This window comes from Homo sapiens, chromosome 2, assembly GCF_000001405.40.
Source record: "Homo sapiens chromosome 2, GRCh38.p14 Primary Assembly".
Taxonomy (NCBI): Eukaryota; Metazoa; Chordata; class Mammalia; order Primates; family Hominidae; genus Homo; species Homo sapiens.
The window spans coordinates 88186667-88211354 of NC_000002.12; the positions used below are offsets into that span (position 1 = coordinate 88186667).

Below are 24688 nucleotides of genomic sequence, written 5' to 3' on the forward strand. Positions count from 1 at the left end.
GCTGCAGGACTGTGGGCAGCCCTGGGGGCCGCTGAGTGGTGGGCTGAGGTGTGTGCGGCATCCCCCTGCTGCCCTGCATTGGCCCAGGCTTGAGGGGCCAGCAGAGCAGGCATGGGCCAGTGGCCCTGGTGGTGCTGGCATCCATAGAGGTTGAGGTGGGGCTCACCAGATGGAGACCCTGTGGGAAAGCATTGGCATCAATGTGCAAACCGAGTCAAGGCGCCCTGTTGCTCATACATCACTTGGGATTGAGCCCATTTGACTCAGGTTCCAATCCATTTCATCAGATTCTAGTCCTGTGTGGGTTGAGGAGAGTTTTAGACAAACACATGAACGGCAACAGAAGCCCCATGCCTTGGACGCTGGGAGCCCCTAGGAGGGGAGGGGAGGCAGGCATTGGATGGAGGGATTTTTTGCCACTAGAGGACGTTGTTGCCGCCACCCTGGAGGCTGCTGTGAAATGACCTAATGGGCATTTGTCCTCCAGAGCCTCCTTCTCCTGCCTGCCTGAGGTCTGAAGGCGCTGCTCAGCCAGGTGCGATCTCTGCCTGGCATTCCCCATCAGAACATCCCAGCCCTGCATCTCCGTGGGACTAAAGGGAAAGGCCTCTGGCGCCCTCTGCTGAAACACTGGACATTGAGGCACTGCAGTCAGTACCCAGAGGGGGAGGACAGGGATGCTGGACTCCAGGAGGACAGAAGGAGTGTTGTTAAAGGAGTGACAGTGACTCCTTACCAGAAGGAGTGTTCTTAAAGGAGTGACAGTGACTCCTTACCAGCCATGACACTTGGCAGTTCCTGAGACACTTTAACATCCACAGCAGCAGACACTGATGCAGCCCCTGGGGCCACTTACCCATTAGATATGATAGGCCCAATGCTTAGGGGCCACCATTCATTAGAGGCCCATGAAAATGTCTTCGTTTCTCTTAAAACCAAAAGAAAACAGTATAATAGAGCTGGGATTTTATTCATCTTTCTTCTAACACAGTTGTACAATAGAATTTTAAGTATTTTTTTTACAGAGGAAGACACCCATAAAAGCAAAAATGCCTAATACCCACAAAAGTTACTATGCAGCCCTGATAGCACCTACTGTGTGCCAGGTGACATTTTACAAAAATTAGCTCATTTAATCCTGACAGCAATGTGTGAAGCTAGTGCTACTGTTTCCCCCACAATGTTGCGGGTGAGAACACTGAGACTCCGAGAGACGAGATAACTTACCAGGGTGGCAACACGGAACAGAGAGGCTGGAACTTGAACCCAGACCTTGTGGCCTCCAGTTTGGTGTGTAGTTCTCCTCACACTGCCTCCTGTGTCAGCGGGCACGTTCTTATGGGGCTTTCTCTGCTGCCTGCCTCCCTCCATCCTTCCCCAGGCCCTGGCTCTGCTCCTGGGTCCTCCCGCCATCTTCCTTTCTTGGATGGATCTGGGAGCATGGCTGTGCTTCTCCAAGAGTCCTCCAGGGGCTGCTGCAGCCCTGTTTTCCGGGCCTCTTTAACTGGCACTGGGCGCTGCTGTGGGCAGGCCCGTGCAGGTGGCTCCTTCTCTTTTGCTGCCATATTCTGAGGACCTCAGGGCAGGGCCAAGGTCACAGGGAAACCCCATCCCCTGAATGGTTCTGAGACCTATCCAGCTCTGAGAGGCCACCATGCCTGTGAGGGAGGCCAGAATAAGGCCACACCAGGCACAATGCACATCGACAGGAAACCTGAACTGAGGCTACACTGGCCACAGGGAGTCTTGGGGAAATGAGAAAAAGGATGAGAACGAGATGAAGTCTGGAGAAGTGCCCACCCCTGTAACACACACACACACCACGCGAGCTGAATAGTGTCAATTCCATTATATGTTGAATCCACAGTATCTCTGAATGTAACTGTATTTGGAGATAGGGTCTTTAAAAAGGTAATTAAAATGAAGTCTTTATGCTGGGCCCTAAACCAGTAGGACTGGTGTCCCTTATTTTATAAGAGGAAATTAAGACATAGACATGTGGCACAGAGGGAAGACTGCGTGAAGTCAGAGGAAGAAGGCTGCTATCTGCAGGCCAAGGAGAGGGGCCCCAGAATTAAAGCAACGCTGAGGGCACCTCGATCTGAGACCTCCATCCTCTAGAACTGGGAGGAAATAAATTTCTATTATTTAAATCTCACCCAGTCCTGAGCAGACTAATACACACACACACCCACACACACACACACACACACACGCCCACCACTTAATGGAAAAAGCCAGGATCTTAGTACCAGATGAAGTGAGAATCAGGGTGGAGTCTTTTCTGAGTCACCCACTTACTGGTAGTGATCACAACTAAGCCATTTAATCTCTGTGAGCCGTGGTTTCCTCATCTGCATCGAACAATACAGATGATCCCTGACTTAAGACTTTGCAACTTTAGGATGGTGATGGTGCGAAAGCAATATGCATCCGGTAGACCTGAGTTCGTATGCATTCAGTAGACTTCAGATTTTGATTTTTCCCCAGGCTAACGATATGCAGTATGATAGTCTCTTGTAACGCAGGGCAGCAGCAGTGAGCCCAGCTCCCGGTCAGCCCTGTGATCACGAGGATAAATAGCCCATATTCCACAGTGTGCTGTATTGACAGATGACTTTGCCCAACTGTAGGCTAATGTCAGTGTTCTGAGCACATTTAGGCTAGGCCAAATGATGATGTTTCTGTAGGTTGAGGGTATTACCCATTTTCAACTTAGGATATTTTCAACTTACGAAGGGTTTATTGGGATGTAACTATTGTAAGTTGAGGAACATCTGTACTTACCTTGCTGGTTTGCTTTGAGGATTACATGAGATGAGATAATGTATTTCCAAGTGCTGGGTAAACTCTCAAATGCCATACAAATGGTTCTTACTATTAACACAATTATAGTCTGCACTGAACAATTTAGTACTTTTAAGCTATCTTGTATTTTTTACTAATTGCTTTGTGAATTAGTCTTATCTTGCCTGTGATATTGCCTCTTCCTTAAGGATAAAGTTCTTCTGTGGCCCCCCACAGTGCTGATGCAGCTTTGGGCACAGGGTTAGAGGTTGACCTGGCCCAGCCAATATGCCCTGCAATAGGATCTGTTAGGGTCACTGGGGGCCATGTGCCACAGATTAGTCAGTAGTGGTTCTGCTAGCCAGTTAACAAACTATGTTAATTTGCAGTGATGATGAGGATAGTACAATTCCTCTCTTGAGCACCAATGATGTGCCGAGACCTTTATAAAACACTTTCCAAACATTGATTCCCTTAATCCTCATGAGTCTAGGAAGAAGTAGAGATGAGGGAATGCAGCTCAGAGAGGTTAGGTAACTTGTCCAAGGCCACACAGCCAGTGTGTGCTGGAGGAGGGATGTGTAGGCTGGGTATAGGATCTGTGAGCCTAACCACTTGGATAGACTACCATACCAGGAGGAGTGCTTTGGGCCCAGGGCCTCCAAGTTCCCATCAAATCAGTGTGTGGTGGTCTGAAGGCTAGATGGGGAGGTAGAGGGTAGAGGAGAGGGCCCATCATTAGGAGAAGGGCCAGATGCCCTGGGCAGGGGGCATGGAGCCAGGAGCTTTGGGAAGAACTTCCCTCTGACTTAGGGCTGCATGTGGAGCTGAGCTCCTCACTGTGAGGATGGTTGGGAGCAGGTGTCTGGTCAGGGGAGGGTGGTGTTGTAGGAAGAAAGTGAGAGTGGTTCTGGGGATTTCCAGCTGCTGGCAGGGAGGCCCAGCTGGGTGGGCCCTGCTGGAAGAGTAGGGGAGATAGACGAGGCCTGGGAGCATTTGCTGAGTTTTCTCAGCTGTGTCCCCAGGAAAACGGGGTGAGCAACACAGCGAGGGCAGGGCCATCAGCCTCCTGGAAAGAGGACAGGGTCAGCTTCTGTGTTGGGAGCTTACTGCCTTTGCCCAAAAGAGTCTTCCTTCTCAGATCTGCCCTTTCAGATCCCACCCATCAGTCCTCCACAGCCGGGGAGCCTCCCAGGGGCCAAGAGCTGGGCAGATGCTGAGGCCTACCATGTGCTGGGCAGTGTTGGATACCAAGCGAGAGGTAAAAATTAAGAAAAGATGTGGCTGGGGTTGATGGAATTCCATGGCCGTGCCCAGGAGCTGCCCCATGGCTTGAGCAATGTGCTCTCCCATGCAGGCATCCAGGCACCTCTTACCCTTCCACCCCTGCACTGACCTTGGTGTTTGAGAGGTTGGTTTCGGGGTCCGCTTCCCCACTACCCATTCCTCAAAGGCCACTGCCATAAACCCAGGCCCTAGCCCCACATCTAGCCTTCACTGCGAATGCTCAACCGGAGAAGAACCAGTAGGAGGAGCTGCAGGCCCAGAAAGATGCCTGGGTTGGGGGCTGGGGGTGTGTGGAGAAGAACGGTCTGGGTCTTGAATGGCTGCGAGAGCCCAGGGAGCCTTCTAGAGTCAGGACTATTTTCTTCTCCTCAGTGGTGTGGTCATTGCAAAGATTTATCATAAACCCACACCCTGGAGAAGGCACAGGGCCTCCTGTTGCAGGCAGAAGTGTCTTTGCAGCTGGGGAGGGGACTTCCTTCCCCTTGAATGGATGCTCAGGAGCTAAGGTAACCAAGGCCAAGAAGCCCTGCAATAGACGCAGTTGAGAATGGAGGCAGGGCTTGAACTGTTCAGGACAGGGTGAAACTGCGGGAACCTCCCCTTGCTTTGGCCACCAGGGAGGCCATGGAGGTCACCCTCTTGCCCCTTCCCTTCATCTCATCCCTGGCTTGGATCATCGTTTTCCTCCCACCATCCCTTATCCAAGGTTCCCTCCAAACAGGGACAGTGCTTGCTTGTAAAATTGGCTCAATTCAGGCCATGAGGGCTTAGGTGGGTTGAGGCGAGCTCTGTGCAACGGTCCTGCAACTAAAGGTCACTATGACCTGCCACCTGCCCAAAGGGCCAAACACACCCTCCAAATTTTCCAAGCCCAAGATAAACTCAGCAATGATTTGTGTGGCCAGAAGAGGGCAGCATAGTACACCCAAGGTCCTCCCTCCAAAGAGGACTGACCACCCTTCCTGCCCCCACCTCACCCCCAGCCCCACTCCCACACCCCACAGGCAGGCAAGTCTGAGCTTGTTCTCTGGGAATTCGAGGCCCTGCAGGTCGGAGGGCGGGGTGGCGAGGAAATGGGGCCCCAAATATATATTTTAAATTGATTGCTTTTCAGATTTCATATTGGGACTTCCCTCCTTTAAAAGAAAAAAAAAATCACAGAAACCTCCAATGTTGTCTGAAACAGTTTTCGTTTTTGTAATAAAGCTACTTAAACATGTACAAACAAAAAATCAATGAACTCCTTGTACTGATGATAGCTCCCATACAAGGATAAGCCGAAATGAGTATTCAAATTAAATATGGACAAACCTACAAACAAAATTTTAAAAATTCAAAACAATCTCATTCATCTGTGCTATATCACGTGCTGCCCTCAGAACTCCAGTGCAGAGGGACTCTGGCACTTCATTCCTAGGACATGATTTTTGTTGTTGTTTATTCCATATATTTATCTCCCGTTTTGATGGAATAACTTTGCTCTTCCGTCCTTTTCCTATTCTAACCACAGGGAAATATCCCAAGCACAGCATCCCAAGCACATCCCATGTCATATGGTCTTCACTTGTTGCCAGCTTGTCGTATATGTGTCCCTTCTGTCTGCTTCTCCTTACTGGCCTGTGACAGTTGAGATAGTATTTTTAAGGTGGCCAGACTGATGATCCAGAAAATGTCTTTTCTCAGAAAAAAAAAAAAAAAATCAAGATGAAATCATCCCCCACTGCCACACATACACACACAGACACACACACACACATACACACATCATTGATAGAGAATTCTGAAACAGCAAGAATGCGTGCCTGGAGCACCATTTGAGAAACATCATCCCCCCCCAAGCCCTTGCTTCTTACAGATGAGCAAACTGAGGCTCAGAGAGGAGAGTTGCTTTAGCCAAGGTCACACAGCTAATCAGGGTGGAGCAGCTGGAGAACTCAAGGGCCTCTCACTTTGTACAGCAGTGCCTCCTTTCAGCACCCTCAGGCAGCCCAAGACAGGCTGGGCCCTGGGAAAGGAGCCCTGGGGATGCTTGTAGAGATGAGTTCTCCCAGTTTGGGGTCGAGTTTTCTGCAGGTTTCAAGCAGCCATCTTCCAAAGCTCAGAAAATGAAATTGCGTAGACACAGCCACTGCTGCAGATGCGAAGACTTTGTCTCAGATCTCCCTGGAAACCCTAAATCTCTTCTGGACTCCAGGTCTGGCAAGAAGGCCCAAACAAGGGCTCTGTGTGTGTTCTCATTTAGTGATTTTTTTTTTTTTTTTGAGACAGTGTCTTGCTCTGTTGCCCAGGCTGGAGTGTAGTGGTGTAATCTCTGCTCACTGCAACCTCCACCTCCCGAGTTGAAGCGATTCTCCTGCCTCAGCTTCCCAAGTAGCTGAGATTACAGGTGCCCACCACCATGCCTGGCCAATTTTTGTGTTTTTAGTAGAGATGGGATTTCACCATGTTGGCCAGGCTGGTCTCAAACTCCTGACCTGAAGTGATCTGCCTGCCTCGTTCTCCCAAAGTGCTGGGATTACAGGCATGAGTCACTGCACCCAGCCTCATTAACTGATTTTTAAAAAGCCTATTAGTAAGGTCTTTCAGGTATTGAGGCCATACTGGATACTATTATTAGGGCCTTGGGAAAAAAGATCCATTTTTGCTCCAACTCCAGGGGCAGGTTTTTAACATGAAGTCTATTAACCGCCAAGGGGTCCATGGACAGAATTCAGGGGGTCTGAAAACTTGAAGGGGGAAAAAAGCCTGCATTTTATTTTCCTTAGCCTGTAACGAAAGGTTAACACTTCCTTCAAATATACATGTCGACAGCAAACCAGTTAATCCTAGCAACACCTGTGTCTTTGTCAACAATAGAAGTCACAGACCTTTTCACATGACATTACAGCAGTTGTGGGAATCTTGAAATATCATTAACACTCATCATCACTACTTTGATACATTATTAGACCTGACACCATATTGTGTTATTTAAGTATCAAGAAAGAGTATATGTTTCTGTGTTCAAATATTTTAAAATATTTTCATAACTGTCTTTCAATATAATTGGTTTCCTTTCTTCTCCCATGTATTTTATTTTATGCATCTGAAAATATTCCAGACTGTCAAAGGAATTCATGACGCAACAGAAACACCCTTTGTCTTGGGGAAACACATCTGTAAAGAGTTACCTTTTTTTTTTTTTTCTTTGAGACAGGGTCTCGCCCTGTCACAAGGGCTAGAGTGCAGTGGTACAATCTCAGCTGACTGCAGCCTTAACCTCCTGAGCTCAAGTGATCCTCCCACCTCAGCCTTGTTAGTAGCTAGGACTGCAGGCATGTGCCACCATGCCCGGCTAATGTTCGTTATTTTTTGTAGAGATGGGGTTTTGTTATGTTGCCCAGACTGGTCTCGAACTCCCAAGCTCAAGCCATCCACCCACTTTGGCCTCCCAAAGTGCTGGGATTATGGGCATGAGCCACGGTGCCTGGCCAAGAGTTACCAATTCCTGTGCATCAACTATAAATTGAGCACACCTGGGTTCTTTAGGTGTATTATCTCTAAATCTTGCAACAAAGAGGTGTACATTATTATCCCCCTTTTATACATGAGGAAACTGAGGCTCAGAGAGGTGCCTAATATCACATATGCTACAAAACATTATAAACATGTCAAGTATTATCATGGAAATATGGACAAAATGAGGGTAACTAAATGACTGTTTTTGTTCACTGCTATGTTGTCCATGCCTGGCGCTTCCTAGATGCTCAGTAGAGGTTTGTTGAATGACAGGATGAGAAGATATCTAGTAGACTTGCCAGGCACGGGACAGGAAATCCTTCAAAGGAAAGGTGAGCGTCAGGATGAGCCCTGAGCTTCTGGGAAGTGCCGGACTGGTGTAAACCAATCATGGTACCTCATCCTCTATGATAGCTTCAGAAATGGCCTGTTACCTGGTTCTGGCCCTGAGATAGGGAAAACTCATTCAGGACCATAGGTGCCTCTTGCCACTGGGGTGAAAGCCAGTGCAACTTGTAGCCCCTGCAGCCACCTTGTCGCCTATAAGGATAGCAGAGCAGAGATGAGGGGGCAAGGGCCTTGGTGATGCTGAGAACCTCTGAGCTGAGCAGCCCCGCAGCTTCTCACCTCTGCACTTTTTGTCAGGGAGATGACAAGGCTAGTTATATTTGAGCCCGTTTTAGTTGAGTTTTCTGTACCTTGCAGCTAAGGCATCCTAAGTGATGGAGTGCATGTGAAGAGGGAGGCAAGGGTCATCCTGAGAATGGCATCTGTGGTGTGACATGGCTGCCATTCTAATGAGCTTGTGCTTTATCCCAATAGGTGATGGCTTGGGGTGGATGGTCTAGGGGATTGAATGATTAGAGGAAGGGGCCGAGGCCAGGTGCAGTGGCCCACACCTGTAATCCCAGCACTTTGGGAGGCCGAGGCGGGGGGATCACCTGAGGTCAGGAGTTCGAGATGAGCCTGGCCAACATGGCGAAACCCTGTCTCTACTAAAAATACAAAATTAGCTGGGCTTGGTGGTGGGTGCCTGTAATCCCAGCTACTTGGGAGACTGAGGAAGGAGAATCACTTGAATCTGGGAGGTGGAGGTTGCAGTGAGCCAAGATCACGCCATTGCACTTCAGCCTGGGCCATAAGAGCGAAACTCTGTCTCAAAAAAAAAAGAGGAAGAAGAGGGAGGAGGAGGAGAAGGAGAAGGAGAAGAAAAGAAGAAGAGAGAAGAAGAAAAGAAGAAGCCGAAATGGTGTGATTTATGATATAGAGAGATTACTTTGTAGGCAGTGTGGAGGATGGGATACTGCAAAGTGATAAGTAATGGCTAAAAAAAGGTAAAATGGTGCAAATATGGTAAATAAGCAAATTGGCAATGCACCTTATTCTGCTCTCAGATTGATGAAAAAGAGGAATAAAACAGGTAAGCATGTTCATATTGGAGATTTATTGTAAAACTCAACTTCCAGGGAACGCGTTTGAGTTGGTGCAGTCTCATGGATCTCACAGTGGATAGGCTGCTGAGGAGGCTGGAATGGTGGTGTTGAGACCCTGTCAGCACCAGCAGTGACATCAGCATCTTCAAAGAAAGCATGACAGTCTCCTCAGTGCCATTTTAATGCTAGGAATCTTCCCTTCTAGTCTCTACAATTTTTTGAAAATTGATAATTTTTCTACGATTTAAGTGATTACTCTCAATGAACCATCATACCTCATTTTCTCTACTCAGAAATTTTCAAGCATATAATATGAACTATAGTCATCTTGTGGTATGATAGATCTCTTGAACTTGTTCCTCCTATCTAACTGAAACCTCATTTCTATTCTAGATAAAAGAAAGCGTGCTATGTTTTGGCATAGGTTTAGGTAGATGGTTCCAAGCAGAGACCTGTCCTGGGGACGGAGGTGATGCTTTCGGTGGATAGAGGAGTAGCCTGGGAGTCAGGAGGCCTCCTCCCCGCTCCTGCCCCTGCTGCTCTCTGGTTGGATGCCCTCCAATACCTCATCACCTCTCTGCACTGCAGGGCCCTGTCTGTGAATCAGTGGGGCTGGGCTATTCACAGCCCCATGTCCTCTGCTTTCTTTCTCAGTCCCCGTGCCCTTGGACTCTAACAACCCCTCGTTGGGCAGCATCTTTTGCTTGTGCTGGTCCTTCAGAGGGAGAGGATGGGATTCCTCAGAACAAAAAGTGCTGTTCTCCATCTCAGGTTTGGTGTCAACAGACAGTTGAACATCCAGTATTTGGCACCTAGGTAAGCACAAGGAAGCATCCTAAAGAAGGTAGGCCCTGGACAGAAGAGCTGTACACACACACACACACACACACTCACACATTCACACACACACACATTCACACACACACACACATGATATGCACACAGAGACAGACACACGCACACATCAACAGACATGCACAGAGTTGCACACACACACACACACAGACATGTACACATACACATACACTCACACAGAGACACACAGACATGCACACATGCACAGACATGCACACACAGACACATGCACAAAGACACAGACACACAGAGACACGTGCACACACACATACATACACAAATACACACACGCACGCATAAGGAGTGGGACATTAGGCAATTTCCTGTGATGGTTCTGAGCACTCATTGGTACAGTGCTGGGCACCTAGTGAAAAATTCCTAGAGGGAGTGAGTCAAATATGTTACTAAAGGGTGGTAGGTTTTGGCTAAGGGAGGCCTTCAGCTGTTATAGGCTGAAGTGTGTCTCTTCCCTCTCCAAAATTCATATGTTCAAGTTCTAACCCCTAGTACTTCAGAATGTGACTGTGTTTGAAGATAGGGTCTATAAAGAGATGATTGTAATAAAATGAGGTCATTAGGATGTACACTAATCCAACATGACTCATGTCCTTATAAAGAGGAGGTTTGGGCACAGACACGTGTAGAGGAAAGGCCAGGTGAAGACACAGGGAGACGATGGCCACCTGAAAGTCAAGGAGAGAAGCCTGGACCAGATCCTTCCTTCATGACCCTCAGAAGGAACCATCCCTGCTGACACCAACACCTTGATCTTGAAATTCCAGTGTCCAGAACAGTGAGATGATAAAGCCCTGTTGTTTAAGTCTCCCAGCTGTGATACTTTGTAATGGCGGTCAAATCCTAGTTGACTAATACACCAGCCAAGAGGCAAAGCATGCTGGAATGTAGTCAAGAGATCAGCTTGCCTTGACAAGAGAAGGGAAAGGACTAAATTCTGTGGTGTAGCTCCTGTGTGCCGGGTAGGTGCAGGACACACGACCCCATGTGAAGTGCCCCAAACGCTGCCTTCAGATGAGAAACCAGAGGCTCTGAAAAGTATGTTGCATGCCAAAGACCACACTGCTAGGTCGTGGCTTCCCTCTGCCTGCTGTTCACCTCCAACATCATCATTGTCATTTTGGCTGGGCTGGTGCTGCTCACTGTGGCCCACATCCAAGAGCTCTCACTTTGCTGACCTTCCCATCTGTCCACAAACATTTACTCAGCTGTGTAATAGATGCTGTGATGCTCTGCCCAGGTTCCCTCTTTGGGGTCTACACACCTATCTATCCTCCAGCTGCTGGGAATACCAGATGCTCACAGCTTACAGCTGCATCCCTTGGTGGACACTGCCCTGGGTGGCAGGGAGCTGCCTCACCTAAGGCTACACCTCTTCCCAGGGGTCCAGGCTGGGATACAAAGGACAGCTCCTGGGCCCCTACAGGACTGTCTGAGTCCTCTGTTGCAGCTGCTTTGTGAGTCATCTTCTTTCTACCTGTCCTGCCTTCCTCACTTCCTCACGGGTATATCTCCTGAGGGTACACCCCACAAAAGTCTTTGCACACAATTTTCCATCTCCATATCTTGGAGACTCCCCTTCCACCTGAAAAGGTCCGATCTGGAAAGAGCCCTGGCGGGAAGTCAGCACTCTGTGTTCCTGCACTCACTCCGCTTAAGACAGCCTCATGACCAGAGGCAGGACGTCCCCTCCCTGGGCTCAGGTGCCTGATCTATAAAAGAGCCACGGCTTTTTCAGTGTTTTCCTCCAAAGTTCAGTAGAAGAGAGAACAAGACAATACAATCCACCTGCCCTGGTGGTGCAGCTGTTTACAGGGGCTAAACAAATAAAAGTTCTCGCCACATCTAAACTATCCATGCACATTTCCATGCCATTCCTTGTTATGAGTTGGACTGTGACCCCATAAAAGATGATGCAGTCCTAACCCCCAGGATCTGTAACTGTGACCTTATTTGGAAATAGGGTCTTTGCAGATGATCAAGTTTAAGATGAGGTCATTAGGGTGGGTCCTAATCCCATATGACCGGTGCCCTAATGAAAAGGGGCATTTAGACCTGAAGACAAACAAACATAGAAGGAAGATGATGTGAAGACATAGGAAGAATGCCAGCTGCAAGCCCAGGAATGCTTGGGCTACCAGAAGCTGGAGACAGGCTTGGGACAGATTCTCCCCCAGAGCCCTCAAGGGAAGCCAAGCCTGCTGACACTTTGATTTTAGATTCTGGCCTGCAGAACTGTGAGACAATGCATGTTTGTTGTTTAAGCCACCCAGTTTATAATAGTTATGGCAGCCCCAGAAAACTAATAACTCCTTAAAGTATCTTTTTGTCTTTATAAAAATATTTTCCTTCTGGAGCAGTGGCTCACACCACTCCAGGAGGAAGTTACAGGTCAGAGCAGGGGCTTAGGGCTGGGGAGAGCTGGGGTGTTTGAGAATCCCAAAGAAGGTAAATGTGGTTGTGGCCATGCCCCCAAGGACGATGGGTTGAGAGGAGGTCCCTGAGTCCACAGGAACCTTATCAGGCAGACCCTTGTAGGCTCCAAGAAGGGTTTGGATTTTATTCCAAACAGTGGAACAGAATGGTTTAATCTGCATGTTTAAAAGATCAGTCTATACTATATGATCCAGTAATTCCACTTCTGGGTATATACCCAAAGAACTGAAAGCAGGGATTCGAAGAGATATTTGAACTCCCATGTTCACAGCGGTATTACCCACAGTCGCCAAAAGATGAAAGCAACCCAAATGTCCTTCAACAGATGAATGGACAAACCAAATGCAGTATATACATACAGTGGAATATTATTCAGCCTTAAAAAGGAATGACATTGTGACACGTGGATGAATCTCGAGGGTATTACACTGGGTGAAAGAAGTCAGACACAAAAGGACAAATATTGTATGATGGATTCTATTTTTATGAGGGACCTAGAGTAGTCAAATTCATAGAGGCAGAAAAGGGAATAGGTGGTTAGAAGGGACTGTGGGGAGGGGAGAATGGGAAGTTTCATGGGTATGGAGTTTCAGTTTGGGATGATGAAAACGTTTTGGAGATGGATGGCGGTGATGGTTTCATGACAGTGTAAATGTACCTAATGCCACAGAACTGTACACTTAAGAAGGGTTAAAATGGTAAATTTTATGTTATGTGTATTTTACCACAATTTTAAAAAGCAAAAAGATCTGTTTGGTTGCCCATTGGAGAGGGGAGGGAGAAGCAAGCTGGAGAAAAGTGGGCAGCCCAGGCCCTGTCCCCGCTGCTCCTTGCATTAACCGGCTGGCTCCAGACTGTCCATCCAGAGAACGTGCCTAGGTCCCAGCACTTTGGGTGTTAAACCTGCAGCAGAGGCCAGGACTTGGGGGACTTGGCTCAAAGCTCCCCACATTCGAAATGACACTGCAGCCTTGCATCTAGTTGTCATATGTGGCTAAGATGGGGAGGCTATGGGGCAGAGACCTGGGACCACCAGCTGCTGCCCAGACCCCTTCCCGCCTCCCTGGAATGGAGCATCCTGATCTCCTGATCCCCATCAGAAAACTCCTGCAGGCTCCTTCCTGCACCCGGCCCCTGGCGCTGCCTGGGCAGGCCCAGCACAGGGGAATCACCTTGCCCTGGAAAAAAAAAAAAAAAAAAGGCGAGAGAGGGAGAAAAGCAGCACAATTAAAATCTTAGTGTATGAATAATTACATTTTAAAAATCCCCACTTTTTTTTTTACATCAAAAGGAATTCTGTAATCAGAGGTTTAATTTGCAGATTTAGTGGCATTTGGCAGGTTAAAAGTAGGTGCTGTGAAGTGAGTAAGCGTGGGATTTGAGGCTGGAAGCAAAGAATGGGGGGATCTGCTCGACCAGAAATCCTAGCTTTGAGCCGCCTCTGAGCTTCGCAGCCGCACTTCCTCTGCCCAAGCCGCCCTCAACTGAGCCGCTGCGCGGGGGCGGGGAGGAGGTGCCGGTGCCGAATGAAGAGGGACAGAAGTCCAGCCCTCCAGCCCTGTGGCCTCGCTCCCTTCTTCTCCTTAAGAATAGCTTTATTGTTTTTTCCTTCTGATTATTTGATCATTGCAAAAAAAAAAAAATGCTGAACATATAGAAAAGCAAAAAGCAACAGAAAGAAAGAAAACAAAGATCACCTGTAGTTTTCCTGCCTGGAGGGAAGAGTCCCTTTTCCTCTTTCCTAAGATAATGTGGATAAAATCCTGTTGCCAACTGGACTAAGCTTTACAAAAGCACAGTTTTATTACTCTACTTTTCCTTTCCCTCTTCTCTTCTGAGGTTCTCCCTCTTTCCTTCTCCAAGGGAAAAAATGAATCAAAACAAAACAGGAACTTTCACAGATTAAAGTGGGAAAAGGAGGTTTTGGCCCAAGAAACTTCCCGGAGGAGATGCCTCCTGGAAGGGGTTTGGAGCAGGGCAGTCCCTGGGGGTGGGGCCAGAGGGCAACAGAGAAAGAGAACCCTGGGTGGCATCCCACAGGGAAGGGAAGGAAAAGAGGCAGGAGTGGGTTTCCATCCCCTGTCTCAACCAGTCGCTGGGGGCGGGCAGTCCAGGAAGGGGAGCCTTGGGTCAGGTGACATTCCTTAAAGGAGGCCATTTCCACGTAGGGACCAGAGTGCTGGCTGTCCACAAAGAACTCCCAAGAGCTGGTAGTGTGCCCTTCAACCCCAAGGAGGTGTGTGTGTGAGAGAGAGAGAAAGAGAAAGAGAGAGAGAAAGAGAGAGAGGAGGAGGAGGAAGCGGGGAGAGAGAGGAGAGAGGGAGAGAAGAGAGAAGGAGGGAGAGAGAAGCGACAGAGAAGAGAGAGAGGAGAGAGAAAGAGAGAGAGGAAAGAGGAGAGAGAGAGAGGAAAGAGGAGAGAGAGAGGAAAGAGGAGAGAGAGAAAGAGAGAGGAAAGAGGAGAGAGAGAGAGGAAAGGAGAGAGAGAGAGGAAAGAGGAGAGAGAGAGGAAAGAGGAGAGAGAGAGAGGAAAGAGGAGAGAGAGAGAGGAAAGAGGAGAGAGAGAGAGGAAGGAGGAGAGAGAGAGGAAAGAGAGAGAGAGGAAAGAGGAGAGAGAGAGGAAAGAGGAGAGAGAGAAAGAGAGAGAGAGGAAAGAGGAGAGAGAGAGAAAGAGAGGAAGGAGAGAGAGGAAAGAGGAGAGAGAGAGAGGAAAGAGGAGAGAGAGAGGAAAGAGGAGAGAGAGAGAGGAAAGAGGAGAGAGAGAGGAAAGAGGAGAGAGAGAGGAAAGAGGAGAGAGAGAGGAAAGAGGAGAGAGAGAGGAAAGAGGAGAGAGAGAGAGGAAAGAGGAGAGAGAGAGAGGAAAGAGGAGAGAGAGAGAGGAAGGAGGAGAGAGAGAGGAAAAAGGAGAGAGAGAGAGAGAAAGCTGGCGCTCACTAAGGCATACGCGCCAAAGGCTCCTTGAGAAACTGTGTAGTTGCTGGGCTAATTCAGATGTATCCGCTAAGACAAAAGGCATCTGCAGGAAGGGGACGGTAGTTGGGCTGTACTGCAGCCTCTCAAAGCCATGTGGCAATCTGGTAGTTTGAGGGAACAGGACAGGTACTTTTAGGAGACATGAAGGTGGTAGCACAGAGAGACCTTCCTGAGGAAGCTGAAGCTGCTGGCCCCACAGCCGCTCCCTAAGCCCTCGTGGGTGGAATAGCTCGCACAGACACTACAGATGCCTGGCGGATATTAATGGTTACCATTATTTTAGCATGGCCATCTCCTCCCCCAAGAAACTGGAGTTCTGCCTTAAAGCCAGAAAATGGAGATGTAGGTTGAGGAGCTTGTCCCAGGACTCACAGTTAAGAAACGGCTGAAAGGGCTGGGCATTTTGGCTCCCGCCTGTGATCTCAGTGCTTTGGGAGACTGAGGCAAGAGGATCCCTTGAGCCCAGGAGTTTGAGGCTGCAGTGAGCTGTGATGGCACCATAGCACCCAGGCTCAGCAACAGAGCTAAACCCCAGGAAAGAAAGAAAGAAGGGAGGGAGGGAGGGAGGGAGGGAGTTGGGGGGGAGTGGGGAGAGAGAGAGAGAACTTGTCATTCTGAAATATTTTTTACAAGTACAATGTATTGAAGGGACATGAAGATGATTAAAATGTAGTAATGTTATTGGATCTCACTAGACAGCAGAACATGGTCTCACAGATTCTTTGGAGCAAGAAGTTATTGAAGGGAGATTTATATTTTTACTTTAGAATAGAATTGTGAAATTCCAGAAATTAAACTTTTTATTTTGTTAATAACTAAATAGATCAAGATTTAAAAAATATAGATATATCTTTTGGTGTAAAGTATGATCCCTAGAAATTTTTTAAATTGAAGTAAATCTCTGCATTATTTAAAAACCATCTTTCCATTTAATATAAAGAGCAAGGTAGCTGTTTTGGATCTTTGTTATCAGGTTTAATATCAAGTCTATTTTTATATTTTATTTTTCTCACTGCACAATGTAGCAAAGAAGAAAAGATCAACTGCCTATTTTGCAATATTTGTACAGTGCTTTATTGTTATTATTTTTAGCAATTAATTATTTTGTTTTGAACAGCTCTCCTCCCAGCTTTTTAGAAACTGAAGGGTGTCTCTTCATTTGGAGGCTGCCTGACTTTGTGATTGTCTGTCAGAACCAGTTTGGGAGCACGTGATTCTGCTTTTTACTTAAGAACTTCCTATAGAATTACCATATGACCCAGCAATTCCACTTCCAGGTATATATCCAAGGGAATGAAAATCAGTTTGCTGCAGATAGATGTTTTTATTCCCATGCTCACTGCAGCACTATTCATACTGGTGAAGTTATAGAATCAAACTAAGTGTCCATCAACGAATGAATGGGTAAAGAAAATGTGGTATGTATACACAATGGAATACTAGTCAGCCTTAAACAAGATGGAAATTTTGTCATTGGTAGCAACATGGATAAACCTAGAAAAAATTTTGTTTGTTAAGTGAAATAAGCCAGGCACAGAAAAACAAATATCACATGTTCTCACTCATATGTGGGAGTGATATGGTTTGGCTCTGTGCTCCCACCCAAATCTCATCTTGAATTGTAACTCCCACAATTCCCACGTGTCATGGGAGAGACCCAGTGGGAGGTGATTGAATTATGAGGGGAGGTCTTTCCTGCACTGCACTATTCTCATGATAGTGAATGAGTCTCACGAGATCTGATGGTTTTAAAAAATGGGAGTTTGCCTGTACAAGCTCTCTCTTTGCCTGCCACCATCCATGTAAGATGTGACTTGCTCCTTCTTGCCTTCTGCCATAATTGTAAGGCTTCCTTAGCCACATTAAACCTTAGTCCAATTAAACCTCTTTCTTTTGTACATTGCCCAGTCTCAGGTATGTCTTTATCAGCAGTGTGAAAACACACTAATACAGGGAGCTATATCAAAACATCACATTGAATCCCATAAATATATACAATTGTTATGTGTCAATTAAAAATAAAATTCTTCTAGATCCATGAAAATTATGAGGTAGTAGAAATGTTTTCAATACAAGAAATACTTAATTGCCTCACAAATATATTTGGATCTTATGGGTCTGAACATACAGCATGGGTTGATAATGATCATTGAAGAATCACGTAACACAAGGATCAATTATTGTATGCCACACATAGATGGAGCTACATTGGATGTCACATGTTTATGATCAGGTAATGCTGCCTGGGATTCTTCAATAAGGCACACTGTTTTTTTTTAACTTCAATAGATTTTTGGGGAACAGGTGGTGTTTGGTTACATGAATAAGTTCTTTAGTGGTGATTTCTGAGATTTTAGTGCACCCATCACCTGAGCAGTGTACACTGTACTCAACATTTAGTCTTCAACTCCCTCTCACTACCCTTTCCCCTGAGGCCCCAAAGTCCATTATATTCTTCTTTTTTTCTTTCTTTATTATTATTTTTTTGACGAAATTTCATGCTTGTTGCCCAGGCTGGAGTGCAATAGCACAGTCTTGGCTCATTGTAATTTCCACCTCCTGGGTTCAAGCAATTCTCCTACCTCAGCCTCCCAAGTAGCTGGGATTACAGGCACCTGCCACAATACCCAGCTAATTTTTTTGTATTTTTAGTAGAGATGGGGTTTCACCATGTTGGTCAGGCTGGTCTCGAACTCCTGACCTCAGGTGATCCGCCTGCTCCAGCCTCCCAAGGTGCTGAGATTATAGGCGTGAGCCATCACACCAGGCCCATTGTGTTATTCTTATGCCTTTGCATCATCATAGCTTAGCTCCCACTTACGAGTGAGAACATATGATATTTGGTTTTCCATTCCTGAGTTACTTCACTTGGAATAATGGTCTCCAATTCCATCCAGGTTGCTGTGAATGCCTATTTCATTTCTTTTTATGGATGGCTAGCATTTCATGGTATATATATATATACACACACATACCGTAGTTTCTTTATCCACTCATTGATTGATGGGCTTTTTGGCTGGTTCCATATTTTTTCAATAAGGCACACCATTTTTAAAAAGCATATTATCACATAATAATATCAACGGCACCTATATAAATGACCAGTATTTTTCTAAGGCAGAGATTTAAAATTTTTTTAGAGCAAAAGTATAGGTAATATAGCTTTGAGGGTTTTTTTGTGTGTGTGTGTGAAACATCTATTAACATCCCATGGGACATGATAAATTGGTGAAATCATGCTAATTTCACCTGAGATGCAAAAAAATAGCAAATACTCTGGCTGCCTTGGTAAAAGACATGTGCTCTAGAGTATAGCAGAAAGGCCATGAAAGATTCAGGGACCTGCTATGCTGATGAAGTTTTTAAGGGTCTAGTGCTCTGGAACATGGTTAGGATATTCCCTCCAAAGTAAAGGACAACCTATTGTACCTTAAAATTCCTACCACTAAGAAAGAAAAATAGCACTTAGTAGATATCTTGGGGTTTTGGAAGCTGCATATTTCATACTTAGGAATACTGCTGTGACTCATTTATCAGTTGATACAGACATCACTAGCTTCGAGTGGGGTCCAGAGTGAAAACAGGCCCTATAGCAGGTTCAGACTATAGGACAAGCAGCCTTGCTGCTTGGCTCATATAGTCTAGAAGATTGCATGATATCAAATATATCTGTGGCAGAGAAAGATGGAAAGATGCCATCTGGATTGTCCAGCAAACTCCCATGAGAAAGTGGCAGCACAATACTTAGGATTCTAGAGGGAGGTCAAGGCATTTGCAACAGAGAATTATACACCATCAGTTCAAGAACAGCTCCTGACATGTTCCTGGGCCTTTGTAGAAATTGAGCCTCTGACCACAGGAAGTTAAGTAGCCATGAGGCCATGAGCTGGGTATTGTTAGAGCTAAGTCATAAGGTGGCAGGAGGGAGGAGAATGGGCTGGGCAGCAGAAATCTATCGTAAATGAAAGTGGTACACTGGAGACTGGGTCTATGCAGGTTGGGGTAGGGGGCAAGTAAGCCACACAGATAGATGGTCCTGACATCCATATCCCTTACCCCATTGTTCAATGCATCTTCCTCAGTTCACACCTATGGTCTTGGGCAGGAGGGAGGATGCTCCCTATGACCAGCTGACAGAGGAGGAAAAAGTTCAATCTTGGTTGATGCATAAGTCAGCTTAGTGGTAGCTGCAGGCCCAAAGTGGACTGTGGATGCACTACAGCCTCTCTCAGCATGGCCCTAAAAGACAGCAGTCAGGAGATCTCCCAATGGACACCTGGTGTGATATGATGTAATAAGATACACACATTTGGTCTCTGGCCCTGGTTTCTGGCACACAACTCCTAAAACCCTTGGAATCTCCAGAATAAGAATGCTTTTGTATGCTAATGAGGTGACCGTTGGCTCCTAGATAGCTTCAGGATTGAGGCTGGTCACCAGAAGACTTTCAGCCCACCCCTCAAACTCTGGAGACGGGAGAGGGGCTGAAGGTTAAGTTGATCACCAGTAGCCAATGATGTAATCTATCATGCTTACATAATGAAGCCTCTATAAAACTCCAAACAAACAGGTTTGCAGAGCTTCAAGGTAGCTGAACACATGCCTGGAGGGTGGTGCACCCAGGTAGGGCATAGAAGCTCTGTGCCCCTTCTGTCCTGTACCTTGCCCTATGTATCTCCTCCATATGGCTGTTCATCCATATCCTTTGTAATATCTCTTAAAATAAACCAGTAAATGTGTTTCCCTGAGCCTTTCTAGTAAATTAATTGAATCTAACAAGGGGGTGGTGGGAACATTGATTTATAGTTAGAAGCACAGGTCACAACCTAGAGCTTGCAATTGGCATCTGAAGTTGGGGCAGTCTTGTGAGGCTGAGCCCTCAACCTGTGGGATCTAACTCCTGGTAGATAGTGTTAGAATTGAATTTAATTATAAGATACCCAGTTGGTATCTGCTGGAGAACTGCTTGGTTGGTATGTGAGGAAAAATCCCCATATACATATTCGTGACTTCTCTCCATTCCATACACACAGGTGAAGTGTTCTGTGTTAACTGTATAGGAAAAGAAAAAGATACTTTGTTTTTTCCTATATCTCCTACATCTGGTCATTTTCTTTTTGTGGACAGAGCAGTTGCCTAAAGAAAGAGTAAACATAGACTTCTGGACTGTGGTGAATTGCTTGGCTGGCTTGTTAGGAACCTGAAAGAAGCAACATTGGAAGATCAGGGACAAAGAACTTTGGAGAAAAGGTTTGTGGATGGATCTATGGGAGTGGCCCAAAGTGTGAGGATTTTTTTTTTTTTTTTTTTGAGATGGAGTCTTGCTCTGTCTCCCAGGCTGGAGTGTAGTGGTGCGATCTTAGCTCACTGCAACCTCCACCTCCCAAGTGTAAGCGATTTTCCTGCCTCAGCCTCCTGAGTAGCTGGGATTACAGGCACGTGCTACCATGCCTGGCTAATTTTGTACTTTTAGTAGAGACGGGGTTTTTCCATGTTGGCCCCTGGTCTTGAACTCCTAACCTCACGTGATCTGCCTGGCTTGGCCTCCCAAAGTGCTGGGATTACAGGCATGAGCCACTGTGCTCAACCACGTGTGAGGATCTTTATATTGACCCCTTAATGCTCAGCAACGAGCTTTCACTGCAAAAGAGGGGACTAAACAACTGAGCAATTAGGATCACTCAGCCAATGGATCTCAGCCTACTTCTGTCCTCAGCTAGCTCAGTGTTTGCACAATGGCTCATGAACGGTAACCGGGGTGGCAGGGATGGAAGTCATGCATGGGACCAACAGCATGGGTATCATCACACCAAGGCTATTTCCTGCTTTCCATAAATATGTATGTGACCCAAATCTGATCACGCTTCTAGAACCAAATACTAGTTTACAGGGAATACAGAGGAGGGAGAGAAGAGAAGAACACTTAAGTCACACCAGAGGGATCCAATCGGGAAAATCCAAACTATGAGTAACTCCATAGGACAAATGCCTGAATTTCTTCAACAAATAAATTGTAAGATGAGATAGAGAGATTATAGATTAAAAGACTATCTAAAAATTTATCAACAGATTGAAATGTGTGGTCCTTACTTGGATCATGATTTAAAAAAAAAAAAAAGGAAAAATTCTGACGTTTACCAAACAATTGGAAACATAAACCCCAAAGAGATATTTGATTATATTAAAGAGTTGTATTTAATTTGGGGGGTATGATAATAGTATTGTGATTATGTTTTGAAAAGAGAAAGAAATCTTAATCTTTTAAAGATACACACAGAAATACTTACGAATGAAATAATACAACGGTTGGGATTTGTTTCAAATAAAACTAGAAGGAGAACTTGGGTGGGGTATAGATAAGGTATCACTGGCCAGGGGTTGATGGTTGTTGTCAGGGATGAATAATAGATAATTAGGGTGTATTAGTTCCTTCTTGCACTGCTATAAAGAAATACTGAGACTGGGTACTTTATAAAGAAAAGAGGTTTAATTTGCTCATGTTTCCTCAGGCTGTGCAGGAAACACAGCAGCATCTGCTTCTGGGGAGGCCTCAAGGAGCTTACCATCATGGCAGAAGGCAAGCGGGGAGCCAGCACTCCACGTGGCCAGAGCAGAAGGAAGAGAGAGTGAGGCAGGAGGTGCTACTCACTTTTAAACAACGAGATCTCATGAGAACTCTATCACAAGAACAGCACCAAAGGGATGGTACTAAACCATTCATGAGGACTCCACCCCACAGTCCAATCACCTCCCACCAGGCCCCGCCTCCAACACTGGGGATTACAATTTGACGTGACGTTTGGTGGGGACACAGATCCAAACCATATCATAGGGGTTCATCATACTCTTCTGCCTCCACTTTTTACCTAATATAAATTCCCCACTGAAAAATGTTGTGTGATCTGGACCCATTTCCTCATCTGTAAGATATAGATCAAGGAGACACTCTTCAACCTCCCTCAGGGAATGTTATAAAAGTAGAACTAAGATAATAGATATGGAAGAAAAAGGGAAAAGTTAAAATTATTACGCAAATTTAAGTTAAATAATATCATAGATGAAATGCTAAGCAGGGCTTGACGTAAGCCAGTGAGCGTAATAATGGCAAGAACTTCCCCTCACCTCCCCACCTTCCGTCTAGACGGAATCTCTGGGATTCTTCAAACTGGACTCTGGGACTCTCTAAGCGTCTTGCTGCTACTTTCTCCAAAACAGCTCTGCTTGTCTGTTTGTTATAATGGGTTCAGGACCCAATTAAGACTTTCAAAGCCCTGAATACTGATTACTGCCAAGGTTGTGGTGCCGCCGTTCCTACATACAGCTTGTTTTTAATTGCTTCCATGAAAGTAACTCATTTTCAGGTATGCCAATTGAAAGATTTCAGCTCATTTATTCGAATGGAACTTCTCTCTCTCCTTTTCCCTACTTTGCTGAGGCTCTGAGGATGTGCTTTGTATGCTTTTTGGGTAGTCACAGCATTGATTGGGTTTCACAGAATATTTCATTTAAAAAGGAGGTTTCACTGCTTAAACTTTAGATCAAATCAGATGTCTATTTAATCCTCTCTCCAATAGCTCACCAAGCATTTCTCCAGTCTTGGCTTAAAAACCTTCCATACAGGAGATTTACGCTCTCCACAGAGCGACCCTGGCACCTCTTCCGATGTTTGTTAGAAAGTCTTACATCCAGGCCAAACACCTTCAGTTCTTCCTCTGCCCTCAGGCCTCCACTGAGTAGATTTAATCCCTCTTCCACTGTCTGGCCAGCTCAGCCAGGCATACGGCCAAGTCTTTGGAGTCAGCCTGTCCCTTCTCCTTCTCTCCCACCCTGACTCCACAGTCTCCTCAGTTAGTTACAGTAATAGTAGCCACAATGGACAGAACTCGCCACGTGCTAGGTACCAAAGTCACACAGCTGGAGGGTTTTAGCGCAAAGTACTAGTTTCTCTGATTCTGGGGTCCATGTTACTAGCCTCTACATTATGATTTTAACTTCTTATCTAGTATAAAACAGCCTCAAAGTGCTGCCTCCTGAAAACATTCAGAGAATAATAGAATAGAAAAAAATTCTCAGGTACTCTCTGGCCTTTGACAATGGAGCATTGCCTACAACCTGAAATATTGAATCAAGAAGTCTCCATTGTGAATTTGAAGTCCTTCTGAGTTGGGTAAACGTGGTGGATCTGGTCTGCTTCTCCTTTAAGGGGACATCCCTTGGTATGGACAGAGCTGAGGCCACTGTGACCTGTGGCAGCAGGGAGGGAGGAGTCCTTGGATCTACTGAGTGCTCTTTGGATGTCACTGAAGTCTGCAGTGATCCATGGTGGCATTTGTCCTGTAGGAAGTTCATGACTGGGGTATTGAATGGGAGTCATTGACACCTCATTAAAGTCCAGGGAGGTGGTGGCATCTGGTTGTCTAGCTTCAGTCCCTGTCAGCACTCTGGCTGCAAGGAAGGCTGGGTAAGCAATTTCTTGGGTTTCTGCCTCCTTAGTGTGAGATGGGCTCTTTTCAATAAGATTCATAAGGTGGGGAATTTCTATAACATAGGAAGGAGGATCAAAGCTAAGAACTGACAAAGGTCTATACTCCCAAAGTCGTGATAGTCCGCAGGCCTCTTCATTTAATGAATCAACAAATATTTACAGAGTCCAAGGTCCCTGTAAAGCACAGTGAATGGAAGGTGACTGTCACGTTAGCCCAAACCTCAGACCTCCAAGAGCTCAAGGGTTCTCAGATTCTATATGCACCAAGCCCCAACATGGCTCTATTTTTAAGACCAGGGTAAGAGTTGAGAGTGGAGGAGGATTAAAGTGACTTGCCCTATCCTCACAGATTTAGGATGCCTAGCTAAAATTCCCAAACCCTCATCCTACTGCAAAACTTACACGCTATCAAGGTGGTATTTCTAAAACATATATAAAATTGCATCATCTCCACAGCTCAGAAATCATGGATGAATCTCCATTACCAGGAGAATAGCCATTCATTATTCACTCATTCATTCACTTGTTAATTTCAAGCTAAAATCTGGCCTGAGAAAGCCTCTGTACTCCTACACTTGGGTTCTTATTGTTGAACCATAACCTAATTTAGTGGGTAGGCAGACTGAAAACCTAATTTAGGAGTATGCCTCTGTAACAATAGCTAAGTCTCAGCCAACCCCAGCAGTCATACTTCAATCACTCACAGGCAGCCAACTGTTCAAATCACATGCAAATAAGACAAATGCTGAGCTGTAAACACTGTGGCTGTTTCTGTACCTGGTCATTTTCTGTCTGCCACTTTCCTTTTTCTATTCATAAATTTGCTCCCACCACGTGGCAACACTGGAGCCTCTCTGAACCTATTCTGGTTTGGGAGGCGGCCTGATTCACTCGTTTTTTTGCTCAATTAAGCTCTGTTA

At 46.0% G+C, this 24688-nt stretch overlaps 1 annotated feature.

Annotated features, from left to right (window-relative positions):
• Positions 15088-15678: an enhancer, noted in NCBI's record as "H3K4me1 hESC enhancer chr2:88501273-88501863 (GRCh37/hg19 assembly coordinates)". NCBI's record gives its function as "activates a minimal SCP1, AML or CMV promoter by ChIP-STARR-seq in primed H9 embryonic stem cells {active_cell/tissue: H9 hESC(primed)}" and the evidence as "EXISTENCE:reporter gene assay evidence [ECO:0000049][PMID:30033119]".